General features: G+C 39.7%; 1 protein-coding gene across 3 annotated transcripts in view, besides 1 other annotated feature; it reads left to right on the forward strand.

The window, feature by feature from the left end:
* ZNF292 (zinc finger protein 292) overlaps positions 1-12470 on the forward strand; it is a 110379-nt gene that overhangs the window by 19164 nt on the left and 78745 nt on the right. The window lies entirely within an intron of this gene.
* Positions 6921-7554: an enhancer, noted in NCBI's record as "H3K27ac-H3K4me1 hESC enhancer chr6:87891367-87892000 (GRCh37/hg19 assembly coordinates)". NCBI's record gives its function as "activates a minimal SCP1, AML or CMV promoter by ChIP-STARR-seq in primed H9 embryonic stem cells {active_cell/tissue: H9 hESC(primed)}" and the evidence as "EXISTENCE:reporter gene assay evidence [ECO:0000049][PMID:30033119]".

The following is a 12470-nucleotide window of genomic DNA, read 5'->3' on the forward strand; positions in this document are numbered from 1 at the left end:
CATTTTTTTGGTACCTAAGATTTTAAATATATTTCTCTGGAATCATGACACCGATGTGTATATAGTATGAATAGGGGAATTATACTTTATCAGAGGAACAATATTATCAAACAGTGAAATTTATGCAAATATACTCAGTGCTAATGTTTCTAAAAATTTATTGAGAAGACCGAGGTTATCTTACACATTTCCCGAAGTCGTCATCTCAGATTTTCTCTGGACTTTTCATTTCCTTCCTGGGAAACCTAAGGAAGAAGTGGCTGTTCCCTTTCCAAAGTGCATCTTCTCGTATGTGTACTTGATCCCCACCACTTCAGAGAACCATCCCACTTTTTTGAGTCTTCATCACTTTTCATCACTTCTGTCTTTTAGCCTATGGACGAGTACATGTCTTTCTCATCTTTTTGCTTCACTGGTCATCTCTCTTCAGATTTTGCCCCTTCCTCTGACTTCTTCTCTCCTTATGTGAAACTTCTCCTTCCTAAAAAAGGTTTTCCTTAATTCTTTTTTTTCCCCTCATCGTTATTGCCAGACTTCTTGGAAAGGTATTGTTTTTATTGCCTTCATTACTTTTTCATTGCAGTTTGGATTCAACTCTTCAACCATACAAAAGAAAATGTTCTCTTTTTTTGAGTTGGGGTCTCACTTTTACCCAGGAGTGCAGTGGTACAGTCATGGCTACCTGCAGCCTTGAACTCCTGGGCTCAAGTGATTCTCCTGCCTCAGCCACCTGAGTAGCTAGGATTACAGGCCCACACCACCATGCCTGGCTAATTTTTAAGAATTTTTTTGTAGAGACAGTGTCTCACTATGTTGCCCAGGCTGGTCTTGAACTCCTGGCCTCAGGCGATCCTCCTGCCTTGGCTTCCCAGAGTGCTAGGAGTACAGATGTGAACCACCACCCTTGACCAAGAAAATGTTATTTTAATGGTCACCTGGCTTGGCATATCTGTAGTACTTGTAGACCTGCATAGCAACCCAGCAGTTCAAAGACTATTCATGTGCCTATACATTGTTTTAAAGAAAATTTGTCAGCATTTAAGAAATCATAAACTTTCATATTGAAATGAGAGTTTGGGGCTTTTGGAAAATCAGAAGATCTGGCAATATTGAACTGATGCCTGGCTGTGGATTGAAATGGCTTCCTGGCCAACTCCTCTTGGCTGTTTAAAATGTTTGTGACCCCACCTAGACTTACCTTCAATTTATTTACACTACGCTCCTGGTTCTACGTTTGTGACTGTTTATTGTCTTTACTCCTTTCACCTTCTGGAAGGTAAATGATAGCTATTATTAATATATTAAAGAGGACTAGATCCAAAAGTTTGTAGTATATGTGTGGTGGGGGGGGCTTTCCCTCATAGGGAAGAAAAAGTATTAGCTTTTTCCCACCTGTCACTAGGTTCGTGGCTGAGTCACCTTTAACAGACTACAGATTAAGAAGAGAAAATAACACAAATTTATTTAATAAAAGTTTCACATGACATGAAGTTTTCAGAAATGAAGACCCAAAGATACAGGGAAACCTGTGTATTTCAGTGCTTGGATTTGATGAAGAATAGACAGTGGTGGGGAAATGTGATTGGTCAAAGCAGGTAGGATCTAATGGTAATAAACTGGAGGGGAGCTTAACAAGGCCTGTTTGTGCAGATTCTTAATGTTCCTGTGTTTTCAGAGATAAGGACATTTCCTTTCCTCAGGGAATAGCGAGGGCACCTCTGGAATGAGGGTCTTATGACTTACTTTAGGGGAAGGTCAGAAAATTGTTTTATGGCCTGTTTCAGGGGAGAAGGGTGGGAGGAGGTCAGAAACCTTCCTGCTTCTGCTACTTTCTCAAATACCAAGGTACCATATTTTGGGGTAGCATTTACTGAACCCTATCACCCTCAATGTTTTCTTCCTTTCACTCTTCACTAGCAACACTCAAGCATTTTTCCCAACTCATCATTATGTCTGAGGCAGGACTTTCTCCTCAGAAAGTGGTTCCTGATGACCTGGTTGATAATCCATGCTTTACATACTCATCTTCAGCAGTCATCCACTCTGACATTATCTCCCGTCACTCACTCTGGATAGGATTTCCAGGTGTCCATTATTTTTATAGACTTTTAGCCCTTGGCTTCCATTTTCAGTCACCTGTGGAACTCTTCCTCGTGGATGTTTAGTAAGTACTTCTAATTAAATATGTCTAAAATGGAACTCATCCAGTTTTCCCTCCATCCTCCCACCAATAAGAAAGCCTGTTGCTATTCTGATGCACCGCCTCCCCCGGCCCCCCACTCCTCCCCACAGACACACACTTAAATTTTTAATCCTTGGCCAGGCACAGTGGCTCACACCTGTAATCCCAGCACTTTGGGAGGCCGAGGTGGGCAGATCACCTGAGGTCAGGAGTTCAAGACCAGCTTGGCCAACATGGTGAAAACCCGTCTTTACTAAAAATACAGAATTAGCTGGGGGTGGTGGCACATGCCTGTAATCCCAGCTACTCAGGATGCTGAGGCAGGAGAATCACTTGAACCTGGGAGGCGGAGTTTGCAGTGAGCCGAGATCGCACCACTGTACTCCAGCCTGGGTGACAAGCGAAACTCCATCTCAAAAAAAAAAAAAAAATGTTTTGAATCCTTCAGTCATTTTTAGCTCCTCCTCTTATTTCCACAGGCCAGTTACCAAGTTTTGTCAATTTTATTCCTGTACTATTTCTTGTATCCTTTGCTGCTTAAATTTGATATGTCATTACTGGCTACATAGTTTTCTTGCCATAGGAAAATTTAACAAATATTTGTTTTTTCATGAAGTTACTTTTCTGTCCTCCATTCACTTCTTTTTAAATCTGTCTTCTATACTGTCACTAAGATTATTAGTTATCCTTCCAAAGCACAGATACCATATTTGTTCCTTAAAGACTTTAAAAGACTATGTGATGTTGAAGAATTCAAATTCTGGGTTGGACACCATGAGTTAAAATCCCAACTTCACCATCTACTAGTTATGGGCTCATTTTCTTAATTTCTTTAATGAGGATAATAGTCATATCTACTTCATAGGTTTGTAAGGATTAAATGAGGCATCAGTACAGTGCACATCACATTAACAAGCACCATGTAAAATGCTATTGTTCCATGAAAACTAAAATTCTAGCTCATAAACCTTACATTCAGGAATATTTCATGCTTCCAGTGTCCCATCCTAACTGATTGGCACCATATCTCTTATTTTTTTGTAGTCTTAGGGCTTTGTAGTCTGTTCTTATACTACAGCTTATGTATCCTCCCTCACTTCTGTGCATTTGCCTTAGCTTTCTCCTTTAGTGTTTTCTTTTTTTTATTGACTTGGTTTCACCACATCTCTTTGCTTTAGTCTATGGTAAGGCTATTCAAATTCTACATTTTCATTAGGCCTTCCTATGCTACTAAAGGGATTTAATTACGTGTTCCTCATTCTTTTTATTGAACTGTGTATGTTTTTCATAGTTTCTTTGTATTATGATTGTGTTTCTTTCTTCTACCTCCCAAGCTGGTGTTCTTAAAAAGAGGGAACATGCCTAGTTTGCTGAATTGTAAGTAATTAAATCTTGTTGAATGGTTTTCTCCTTGAATAGGTGGTTTCAATTTTTGGAAGAAAGGTGAATTTTGTGCCTTTAAGAAGCTGTTCTTTACTGAAATTATGTTACTTTTGACTATTCTTATTTCATCTCATTTCTGAATTGGATATCTATATTCAGGGCAAGGATTCAGTTTGATCAAACAGTTCTTATAAAGCAAATGTGAGTGTATAATAAGTAGTAGTACTCTTATTAGCTTACATTTATTAAAGTTATATGCCAGGAACTGTTACGTTTGTGTGTTGTGTATGTCTGCCTATGTGTATAAGAGAGAGGGAAATTATTTATTTAGTCCTCAGCACCTCTCTGAAATAGGTGGTTACTATCCCTGTTTATTTATGAGACCACTAAGGTACAGAGATGTAAAATAACGACCTAGTCAAGTAACTAGGAATTTTTAACAACACAAGAAAAGCAGAACCCAAACTAAGTAAAACATTTTATTTCTTTTTTTAGGGACAGTGTGTAGGTGTGATTGTTGAAGTTTGCTTTAGGGTACTAAAGGAATTTGTGAAAGAAAACTTGAATCTTTTGAAACTAAGTTTCAGGAAAGCAGAATGTAAGCATTTTACCCTTGTGGAGGCTTAGTAATACCCTTATTTAAGAATGTGCTAATTAGGGTTCTTTATTCTATATTAGTGGGAATTTCATTAGTTTTGAATTTAAGTGATGTATAGGCCCTTTAAAGGTTGAATAATACATATTTATGAACTATAGTGATAGCAATTTGTTGCAGACATTGTTTCCCAATCTTTAAATATTAATATAAGATTATTTGTTTTATTGGATTAAACAAAAACAAGTCTGTATTTGTGATATATGTGGCTTTTTTTTTTTTTTTTTGGGAGATGGAGTCTCACTCTGTCGCCCGGGCTGGAGTGCACTGGCTTGATCTCAGCTCACTGCAACCTCCACCTCCCAGGTTCAAGAGATTTTTCCTGCCACAGCTTCCCGAGTAGCTGGGATTACAGGTGTGCACCATCATGCCCAGCTAATTCTTGTATTTTTAGTGGAGACAGGGTTTCACCATGTTGGCCAGGAGGGTCTCGAACTGCCAACCTCAGGTGATCCGCCCGCATCAGCCTCCCAAAGTGCTGGGATTACAGGAATGAGCCACTGTGCCTGGCCAATGTGGACTCTATATGGTATAAAGGAGTATGTAAACTGTGGAGAGAAGTAGGGCTATTTTCTACAGCAGTGGTCTTCAAATTTTTTAATTGGGTACCTTACCAGAAAACATTTGAATAGAAAACCTCAATATAAGTATGTCTAATTATAAATCATATGTATAAATATATATACTATTTCGGCTTATATAGTTTTTCAAGTCTGTTTATGATGTAATTTTATGTTTCAGAACAATTTAATATACTTTTTTTCCTGCTGTACTTCAGTGTACATCCTCTGTTTGGAAACCACTAGTTCATAGTGCTGTGAGTAATGAAGTTTTCTAAGAATACATTATTAAATAACTGCCTGATTTATTTGCCCTATTTCCTCCATGTACGGAGACATTACAGCAACAGCCCAGTCAGATTTTTTTCATGCTATCTTTTAGTCAGATTTAATTTAATGTGTATTTCTAGTTTATTGCTTCTGCCATGTTTTATTCTTTATGAAGATCCCCGAGTATTGAGTGTGCCAGTTACCAGATTCTCTCCCAGCTCTAAATTACCTCTTCATTACTTGATCTGCAATATTGGAGCCTAACCCTTTAGGCCAGGGGTGTCCAATGTCTTGGCTTCCCTGGGCCACATTGAAAGAATTGTCTTGGGCCACACATAACATACACTAACAATAGCTGATGAGCTGAATCGCAAAACAAAACAAAACAAAAAAACAGAACAAAACAAAAACCTTATTTACAAATTTGCATTGGCCCGCATTCAAAGCCATCCTGGGCCACATGTTGATGTTGAACAAGCTTGCCTTCGGCATTTCTTCTTTATGTGATGTTAATTTTGTGAGTGGAGAGTGCTGGAAGGACAGTGCACAAGGGCGGGCTTATGGTTTTGTTTCTTCTTACTGTGAATGCACGGCTGCCAGTAGTGTGGCTATGGATATCCAGGGGTCCTCTGCCCCAAGTATGTGCCAAGAGCAGACAGACCCTTGTCTAGCTCACAGCCCCAGCGTCAGCTTAGTGACCTCCTCTCTGTAGTTTTCCCAGCATGAGGCTGCACACCCCAGACCTCATGCCTGCCTTCTGGAGAGCCAGCTGCCAATATTCCAACTTCCCCTGCATGTCTACTTACACTCAGGAGGGCTTTCCTTGTGCAGGCCCTGCTGGTAATGAGATTCTCAATGTCCCAACTGACTGTGTATGCTCAACCTCGAGCCCCTTAAGCCCCAGCAACCACAGGGAGAACTACTTTGCCATCCAGTGGGCTGCAGCCATAATTCCAATAAGGCCTGAACCCTAGTTATGGGGAGTGGGGACCCTCTTCTAAGTTTGTTCCTTCCGTGGATACCCTCACTCAGCCCTTGAGTACTTGAGTATTCTTCAGAATTTTCATTACACATTGATAGTTATTTTCCTATTACAATTAATAATTGTAATTGAGAGTTCCCTGATTCCCCTTGCAGGAGGTGTGACAGAGGTGTGGCTCACCTGCTTGGTCGCCCCGCAGCTCAAACCCCTAGGGCGAGCATGCAGACAGGTAGGTGCAGAGACCAGGAGGAAGCTTTGGGCTCTTGGCCCCATGGTAATGTCTAGGGGTGAGTGCCTGCAACCCCACTGTTACAAAGCTCTTTCTTTCAGCTTTGCCGTCTGCAGACGGCTTTGAGTGTTAATCAGCTCAATGGACCCTCTGCTTTATTGCAAGGAAGAGGGCCAGTGTGACAGCCTTCCATATCCCACGCTGTTCCCTAGCGTCCCGGATCACACGCAGGCTCGAAGGATGAGTGCAAGATTTTACTGAATGGTGGAGGTGGCTCTCAGTGAGATGGATGGGGAGCCAGAAGGTGGGGAGGGGTGGGGGATATAATCTTCCCCTGGAGTTCAGCTGTTCTCAGCCAAACTCCTCTCAATATTCAGGTGCCTCTTTCCTCCTCTGCCATGCCACCCTGCTGCTCTCTGCCGCTCTCCACCGCTTCTCTTGACATTCAGCAGTTTGTGTGTGTGCCCACTAAGGTCTTGGGTTAAATGGGGGCAAGATGGGGGAAGTGGTGGGCCAAAGGCAACTTTTTGGGCGCAAAAACAGGAATGGCTGTCCTCTTTTAGGGCCACTGGTCTTCAGACTTGAGTGTGGGGCATTTGCCGGGGATCTGCCCTCTTCTACCCAGTATTTTCCTGTCTTCTGTTCATGTGTATATGAAACTTTGCCTGTTCAAGTTAGGGTGTGGTTCTTTTTTGTTTTGTTTTTTTTTTGAGATGAAGTCTCCCTCTGTAGCCTAGGCTGGAGTGCAGTGGCACTGTCTCGACTCACTGCAACCTCCGCCTCCTGGGTTCAAGCAATTCTCCTGCCTCAGCCTCCCAAGTGGCTGGGATTACAGGCACGCACCACCACACCCAGCTAATTTTTTTTTATTTTTAGTAGAGATGGGGTTTCGCCATGTTGGCCCGGCTGGTCTCAAACTCCTGACCTCAGGTGATCCGCCCATCTCGGCCTCCCAAAGTGCTGAGATTACAGGCGCCCGGCGGTTCTCATTTTTTTGATTGGATCCTACCAGATGCAATGGGCTAAAGTGAGTTAAATTACATATTATCCTTGTGCTTGAAAACTGAAGATTAGTACCAGTGCTTCCTCCTCACCCACTCATATACAGGGCATATTTGGGTCACTGCTAGTCCATGGTAATTAGCTTTGTTATTAAAAAATATCATGGTTGTAAATGCAGTTATTCACTCTAGTGGAATATTACTATGCAGGAGTAGCCCTTCAAAGTCATCGATCCCAAAAATGGTTGAGCTGAGAGAATGGAATAATTGTGTAAGTGTGTTTCCATAGTTAAAAGTCTATTATATTGTAATTTAAACAAGAAACATCAAATGAGAACTTTTCAATTCTATTACTTTATTATCATGCTTGGTAGCTTAAAAAATTTCCACCTGGTTATTTCCTTTTGAGTAAATTAGCAAATGACAGTCATGTAAATTATCTTTTAAAAATTTCCCCAAGTAGGAGGCTCGGGTAAAAGAAAAGCACTCCTACGCTTTTAGAGGATGTGGGGTTGGTGAGGCAGAGAGACCAGAAGATGAACTATTGTGACTAATTTATTAGTGCTAACTTGTTACTAATAGATGGTTCATTTGTAGACATCTAAATATGATTGTGTTCATTTTCATATTTGGCTTTTCCTTTGAAGTTATATGTGTAAAATAGTTGGTGATGATATGTTTCTAGAAATTGAAGGAGGAAAGAATAAAAGCAAATTAACAATCATATTATTGATTCCATAGCAACGTGTTAAATTTGCTATATCCAGTAGCCTTTACATTAGTATAGAAGTAATGAACCTGCATTTTGTATTAAGTAAATTATATTATTTTTAATAAATCAGTAAAACAGCAGGACACCAGAATCTTTTTGAGAGATTTTCTACTTCCTGGTCCTACTGCTTTAACTTCACTGTTTGTGACAACTTTGTGTAGAGAGATATTATTGAAGATAAAACTGATGGCCCTGGCTCTGTAGGTGATCTTCCCAATGAAACACTCATGGAGATAGTGTTTTACATAAATTTTTAAAAGCAGTGATGACTTCTGTGTAGGAGTCAGTTTTTTTAAACTTAGATTATAAATGACTGTGTATACAGTGAATGTTGCTGAAAAAGAAAAAATGCTTGCAATAAAGTTACAAATAGTCATTTCTCCCCTGCAATTGAAAGAATGATGCTTCATTCAAGTCTTTGACACCTTAGAGTCAGTAAGGGTGTTAAGTACTAGAGGAAGTTTATAATTACAAAGAGCCGCATCTAATAATCTTAAAGGCAAATAGAATGCTTTGCAATAGACAGAAACAGGGAATAAAATAATTTAAAATATATATTGTTATCAAATACTTTTTTTTTCTTACAGGCTGGCCCCTGCAGGAAAATATAACATGAAATTCAAGCATATTGTATCTAAGAAATGACTGTTTAAAAAAATAAAATGGTCCCTTCAGTTGGGGTTGAATCATAATTCTAAAAGACACAATCCTGAACACCATAATCCCAAATGTTGAAATCCTCAATGATCAAAATCCCTAATGTCTGAAATCCCAAAGGATTGAAATTCCATTAATTCTGGAAAAAATAATTTTTACAAACTTTTTAAAAGATGTTTATTTACATTTTTAAAAGGGGATTTGAGAATCATAAAATACCACAGAACATAAACCACTTTACACCATAAAATAGGCAGTAATGACATACATATTTTTGCAAGCATAAATAGATACACTAAGGATAGTCACATGGGTATAACAGTTATAAGCAGATAAGCCATTATTCATAAAGAAATAGGTCACAAAGTGAAATGTGTAAATACATATCACTATGGTTGGTAATTGTATACACGCAGTATTATAACTGTAGTCATCTCAAATACCATGATGGACAACTGAGTCTTTTGATGAGGTCAGCCAAAAACTGTAATGATTCACCACCACATATGCAGTTGCCCAGAGAGCCAAGATCTCAAGAGATTTTGTCTTTCACAAATACAGATGTAAAAAAAGGACATCTCCATTTATTGAGGAAATTTCAATGTTTTCACATATACACACAGTGCTTACACACAAAGTCAGTGTTGTGATAATACACTTTTGTAGAGTCACATTTACTAAAATGCATATAACGAATTAGAACTCTCTAAACCTTTATACAATTTATACCTCCAAAATTGGAAATGATGTGAAGATGAAAGATAGCATAGCTAATTGGCACAATGTGTGAAGGGGCAGAAGTAATACATGATTGAATAATTTGGCATGGGAGATTTCTCCTACTTTTTGCCTGCATTTTCACTTCTGTGAACTTTTGGAGAGTGGTGTACTCTACACATTTTGTAAGTATATGTTGTCTTTTTGGAAGTCTGGTTATTGTTTGGCCATTGCAATTAAGTATTTTTCTGCTTTCACATCACCAGTAATAATTAGCTTTTAAACTTCTGTCTTTCACCATTAAGGAGCTTAGTGCGCTCAACTTACCATAGGCTTTTTTTTTTTTTTTTTTTTGAGGGGACAGTTCCGTAGATGTCTTCCATTGTGTTGTAAGGAATACAATAAGAAGGAATGATTGGCTTCTCCAATACTAGGTCTGTATTAGGGTTCTCCAGAGAGAGAACCAATAGGATATGTATATAGATATATGAGAAGAGATTTATTAGGAGAATTCACATAAGAGATTCTGGTGGCTGAGGAGTTCCACAACAGTCCATCTGCAAGCCAGAGACTCTGGGGTTGCTGTAGCAAAGCTCAGTCCAGTTCCTAAGGCCTCAACCAAGGAAGCTGGTGGTGTAACTCTCAGTGGGAGATTGAAAGCTTCGAGGACCCTGAGGGGCTGCTTAGTGTAAGTCCTGGAGAACAAAGGCCCCTGAGCCTGAAGTTCTCATATCCAAGGAAGCAGAAGAAAAGTCTTGTCCTAACTCTCAGAGACCAATCCATTTTCTGTATTTGCTCTCTTGGCTTCTGGCCAATTGATGGTGCCACAGTGAGGTCAGATCTTCCCTACCTAGTCCACTCAGACTCACACACTAATGTCCTCTGAAAACATCCTCCCAGACACACCCAAAATAGTGCTTTAACAGGTTTTTAGGTATTCCTTAATCCAGTCAAGTTGACACCTAAAATTAAGTCCATAAGTCTACCCTTTGACCACGTACCCATATGCATTTCCTTAAACTATACTTAGTTTCCAAATAAAGACATTAACAAAGGAATAGTTCCACCTAACATGATGCAACTCATATGATGCAAATGTCCTTTGTACAACCCAAAAATGTGCTAAACCTTTCCCCAGAATTCGACTGTCAGGATTTTGACATTTCAAGATTGATTTTCAGGATTTTAGACTTCCGGGATTTTGATATTTTGGATTTCAACATTTAGGATTGTGTGTTTTGGGATTATGATGAGCACTGCTTTCGTTACCGGTGTCACAATTTAATTAATACAGTAATTTAATTCTGTTGGTGTACCATTTGTATTCTAGAATATTCTAGAACTTGAAGCATACTTTCTTTGAGAGGAGGTCTTGCCCTGTAACCCAGGCTGGAGTGCAGTGGCACAATCTCACTCATTGCAACCTCTGCCTCCCGGGCTCAAGTGATTCCTCCCACCTCAGCTGGGACTACAGGTGCGTGCCATCACACCCAACTAATTTCTTGTATTTTTGATAGAGATGGGGTTTCACCATGTTGCCCAGGCTGGTCTTGAACACCTGAGCTCAAGCGATCTACCCACTTCAGCTTCCCAAGGTGCTGGGATTATAGGCATGAGCCACCACGCCCAGCCCTCTATTTTTCTTACTTTTTATTTTTTATTTTTTAAACATTTGCTAATTTATTATAAAGGATTTTACAAAGTATTGACAGGAAGAGATGTATAGGACAAGATATGGGGGAAAGGGGCTCAGGGACCTTCCACGCCCTGCCTGGGTACACCTCCCTCCAGAAACCTCATGCACGTTCGGCTCTCCAGAAATTCCTGAACCTAGTCCTTTGGATTTTTATGAAAGTTTCATTACCTAGGCATGATTGATTACGTAATTGGCCATTGGTGATCAACTTAGTCTTCAGCCCCTCTCTGCTCTCCAGAGGTTGGGGGGACAGGTGGGGATAAAAGTCTCAACCTTGTAGTCATGCTTTGGCCTTTCTGATGTCCAGCCCCTGTCCTCAAGTTACCTATGGGCTGCCAGCCATCAGTCAACTCATTAATATACAAGGATGCCTTCAGGCATATTTTTCTAGGTTATTAATGGAGGTTAAATTCCCAGACTAGTTACAAAAAGTATTTTTTAAATTCACAGTAAAACTGTAATGTTACTTTATATTCTAGGAACAGGATACTGTGCAGGAAAGACCACTGTCAAATTCAGAGTTTTGTTTTGGGAATGCCTTACCACTTCATTTTCATTCCCTCTTAGTTCTCCAGTCCTCTTTCTCAAGTAGCTGATGTTCTCATATTTCTGTGAGTACACTTTGCATCTTCACTCAAACCTATTCCTTCAATATAGGAGAGCTCAGTTAGCTGCTAAAGAAAACAATATGAACTAACTTATGATACTGTATGGATGTGCCTTAAGTAAATAAGATTTCAGGTAGATAATAAGTATGGGGAAATGGCCAGGTGTAGTGGCTCATGCCTGTAATCCCAGCATTTTGGAAGACTGAGGTGAGAGGATCACTTGAGCCCAGGAGATTGAGGCTGCAGTGAGCCGTGATCATGCCACAGCACTACAGCCTGGGCGATAGAACAAGACCTGGTCTCAAAAAACAGGCAGGGAAGTACAGGTGATTCGGAGGAAGGATAATTTGGAGTGGAAGGATCTCCAAAGAGGCAAGCCTCTCAGTTGCTGCTGTGTCCAGTCTTTTGTTATAGTTGTTCCTGTATTCCAGAACTTAAAGTTTCTCTGAACGCGTGAACTAAAAATTTTTCCTCCAACTACTCACGTTACATTAGCAGCAAGGGTTCATGGGATAAATGAGGAGGGTAAGACTAGAGCCTTTGGTGTGTATGATTTTCTCAGTTCAGGACTATAGTTGTATATCATTCTGGTCTTTTTTAGTTATTAATATTATATGAGCTAGTAAATTAATTTTTTCCTCACTTCAGTGACATTGCGTTTAATTTCTAATCTTAAGACAAACAGTAATCCAAAGTTTTAGAAAAAAGAAATTCCTGCAGTAACTAGAAAAAGTTGTCAGTCTTCTCTGATTTAAATG

Source organism: Homo sapiens, chromosome 6 (genome assembly GCF_000001405.40).
Source record: "Homo sapiens chromosome 6, GRCh38.p14 Primary Assembly".
Classification (NCBI taxonomy): Eukaryota; Metazoa; Chordata; class Mammalia; order Primates; family Hominidae; genus Homo; species Homo sapiens.